Consider the following 4,561-nt stretch of genomic DNA (forward strand, 5'->3'; position numbering starts at 1 on the left):
AGAGATCTCTAATTAAATTTAATCCAAAGAGAAATTCACCAACATGCACAATATTCAAACTATCAAAATTCAAGTAAAATAAGGAATTCTGAAGGCAGTAAGTGAAAAGAAACATATAACATACAAAGGAGTTTCAATATGACTGTCATCATATTTCTAAACAGAAACCCTGCAGGCTACAAGAGAGTGGAAGGATATATTTAAAATGATGAAGAAAAATTTTAAAAATCTGCCCACCAAGAATACTTTACCTAGCAAAACTATCTTTCAGAAATGAGAGATAAATAAATACTTTTCCAGACAAACAAAAGCTAAGAGATTTCATCACTACTAGGTCAGCCCTAGAGAAACTGCTAAAGGGATTTATTTAAGTTGAGACGAAGGGCTACTAATTAATAACATAAAACACATGAAGGCAAATAACTCAATAAATAATAAAGAGTCATAGTTGAAATTCTCTAATATTAAAAAGTGGTGTATAAAGCAATTTTATCTATGATGTGAGGGTTATAAGACAAAATTACTAAAAACAACTTTAGCTACAATGAATTGTTAAGTGCTACCAATTACACAAAGGATAGAACAGGATGTCTGGCTTCCAAGTGGGAACCTTTGCAGTGCAAGGAATAAAAGACAGAATTAAATATGAGTGATGTTGAGAAAGGCAAAAAGATTTTTATTCAGAAGTGTGTCCAGTGGCACACCATGGAAAAGGAAGGCAAGCAGAGACTGGGCTAAATCTCCATGGTCTCTGGGCAGAAGACAGGTCAGGTCATTGGATTCTCTTACACAGATTCCAATAAGAACAAAGGCATCACCTGAGGAGAGGATACACTGAAAGAGTATTTGGAGAATCTCAAGAAGTACATCCCTGGAACAAAATGATGATATTTTTTGGCACTAAGAAGGCAGAAAGGGCAGACTTGATCACTTATCTTGGAAAAAGCTACTAATGAGTAATAAATTGTCACTGACTTATTAGAAAAGAGAAATGTCTCATGACCTTTTTATATGTACCATAATTTAATAGATCTCATACACCAGAATTCAGATCATAAATGACTGACAGAATATTTTTTGTTGGGTAGTCCTGATATAACTAAGACCGGCTTGTGGTTAAATGAATTGGTTTTTTTGTTTAAATTTTAATAGTAATCCTGATTCTGTAAATGCTGTCACTATTTACTCCTTCTAAAGACATAATTGGACTTCATTAGTAATGTTCAACTTTTTACAAAGATGGCAAATTATTGGAGATTGATTTTATATTTATATTTAGACTTATATAACTGGCTATGTGAATATATTTAAATACTGGGGAAATTCCTTCACTGTCTCAGAGCGAAGCAAGATTCAACTGTTTTGCGTTCATTTGTGTCTTAAAGGCAAGGGCTAAAGATAAGGTGGCAAATGTCTACTTTATGTTTTTGGTCTTAACTGTGCCAATGTAATTAGAATTCCCTGTATCTAAAATGGTTCCTTTTACTTATTGAAAGGCATTTTAGTGTGGTTTCTGTGTAATATCAAATAAAGATTATTTAACACTTCTCACATTTTATCGATCATCTGTAAGGTCAAATGCTTTAAAAAATAGCAAGGTAAATGTCACTCTTGAATTCTTTACTATCTAAGTCAGACTAAGTTATAATTTAGGACTGTCTTTAAACAGCCATTCAGAAACATAAAACTGTAGAACTGCTGTGTATTTACGACTGGGAATGGTACTTTTGCCAAATGAAAAGGATCAAAGTAGAGGAGATATACACAAATTTAAAAATTATGTGTGCTCATAAGACAATTAAAAACAAAATTACAGATAAAAACAAAGTATACAAAGATGTAAATTTTTATATCTAATCATAAAATGTTAGAGGGAGCAATGAAAGTATAGAGTTTTTATGTGATTAAAATTAAGCTATTATCAACTTACACAGCCTCTTATAAGTATAAAATGATTTATGTAAGCCTCATGGTAACCACAAAGCAAACCCTGTAATAGTTGCATAAACATTAAAAGAAAGAATCCAAAGCGTAACTGCATAGAAAACCATCAAACCTCAAAAGAAGATAGGAAGAAACAAAGCATCTACAAAATAACCAAAAAGCAAATTACCAAATGGCAGTAGCCTGTCCTTACCTATTAATAATTACCCTGGACATAAATGAATTAAATTCTCCAATCCTAAGACATAGAGTGACTGAATGTATTTTTAGAAAAGAAGATCCAACTTATGTCCCTACAAGAATACACATAGGTTGAAAGTAAAGAGTTGGAAAAAGACATTCTGCAAATTGAGCACCAAAAAAGAGCAGGAGTAGCTACACTTATAACAGACAAAATAAACTTTTAAGATAAAAACTGTAAAAAGAGACAAAGAATATTATTATCTAATAATAAAGAGAACATATTATTGAGAACATAATTGTAAATATGTATATGCATACAAAATATATAAAGAACCTAATGTATAAAGCAATTATTAAATAATCAGAAGAAAGAGAAAGACTACAATACAGTAATAGGAAACTTCAGTATCCCTCCTCGAACAATAGAGAGATCATCTACACAGAACATCACTAAAGAAACATTGAACTTGAATTCTACTTTAGATCAAATGGGCCTAAAAGACATAAACAGTATATTACATCCAACAGCAACAGAATACATTTTTTCTAGTCCACATATAACCTTCTCCATGATAGATAATATGTTAGGCCAAAAAACAAGTCTTTACAAATTTAAGATTAAAAAGTATCTCATATCTTTCCCAATCACAATGGTATTAAAGTAGAAATTAATAAAAGAAGAAATCTAGGTAAATTCACACATATGTGGAAATTAAACAACAGGCTTCTGAAAAAAATAGGTTAAAGAATTAAAAGGGATGGCAAAAAGTACCTTGAGACTGATGAAAATGGAAACATTATATACCACATTTATGAGATGTAGCAAAAGCAGTTTCAAGAGAAAAGTATGTATCAATAAATGCCTATATCAGAAAAAAAGAAAAAGTAATCTAAAGATAGACCTCAAAGAATTAGAAAAAGAACTAAGTCTAACGATAGCAAAAAAGAGAAAATAACAAAGATCTATGCAGAAATAAATGAACTAGAGACTACAACAATATAAAAAAATCAGTGAAAGAAAGACTTGGTTCTTTGAAAAGATGAAATTGACAAACACTGAACTAAACTAAGAAAAGAAGAAAGAAGACTCTAATAAATAAAATGAAAGAGGAGATATTGCAAAAGATGTAACAGAAATACAAAGAATTACAAGACACTACTCTGAACAATTCTACACCAACAAATTGTATTACCTACCTAGAAGAAACAGATAAATTTCTAGACACATACAATATACTAAGACCCAAACAAGTAGAAATAGAAAATCTGAATAGATAAATTACAAACAAGGAAACTGAATTAGTTTTAAAAACCTCCCATCAAAATAAGTCCCGGTCCTGTTGGCTTCACAGCTGAACTATACACACATTTAAAGGAGTCTTAATACCGATCTTTCTCAAACTCTTTCAAAAAATTGAAGTGAAGGGGATATTTCCAAACTTATTTATGAAGCTAGCATTACCCTGATACCAAAGCCAGACAGGACAATCCACAAAAAAGAAAATTACAGGACAATATCCCTGATGAGCATAGATGTAAAATTTCTTGACAAAATACTTGGCAACTGAATTCAACAATACAATAAAATAAACATTCATCATTATCAACTGGGATTTAACCCTTAGATGCAAAAAGGTTCCAACATATGTGGATCAGTAAATGTGGTGCACCACATTAATAGAATGAAGATTTAAAATTTTATAATCATCTTTATAGTTGTAAAAAAAGTACTTAGCAAAATTCAATAGGCTTTCACAAAAAATCTCAATAGATTAAGTAAGAGGGAGTGTACTTCAACACAATAAAGGCTATATATGACAAGCCCAAAGCTAATGCCATTCTAAACAGTGAAAAGTTGATAGATTTTTCTCTAAAATCAGGAATAAAACAAGAATGCCCTGTCTCACCACTTCTATTCAACCTAGTAATGGAAGCTCTAAACAGAGGAGTTAGGCAAGAGGAAGATATCAAAGACATCCAAGTAGTGAAGGAAAAAAGTGAAATTGTCTCTGTTTCCGGACAACATGATCTTATATACAGGAAACCCTAGAGATTACATGTACACACACAAACACATACACACACAACTGTTATAACTAATAAATTAATTTAGTAAAGATGCAGGATACAAAGTCAACAAGAAAAAAATCAGAGGTGTTTCTATAAGCTAATAATAGACTATCTAAAGAGAAAATTAAGAAAACAATTCAATTTACAATGGCAACAAAATATAAAATATTTGGACATAAATTTAACAAGGAAAATGAAAAATCCATACACTGAGAATTATAAAACACTGGTGAAAGAAATGGAGGAAAACACAAATAAATGGAAATATATCCTGTGTTCATGAATTGAAAGAATTGATATTATATAAATGTCCATACTACCCAAAGTGATCTACAGATTCAATACAACCTTATCAAAATTTCAA

At 30.8% G+C, this 4,561-nt stretch overlaps 1 pseudogene; it reads left to right on the plus strand.

Annotated features, from left to right (window-relative positions):
- CYCSP17 (CYCS pseudogene 17) lies at positions 586 to 1,155 on the plus strand (annotated as a pseudogene).

This window comes from Homo sapiens, chromosome 6 (genome assembly GCF_000001405.40).
Source record: "Homo sapiens chromosome 6, GRCh38.p14 Primary Assembly".
NCBI classification, from domain to species: domain Eukaryota; kingdom Metazoa; phylum Chordata; class Mammalia; order Primates; family Hominidae; genus Homo; species Homo sapiens.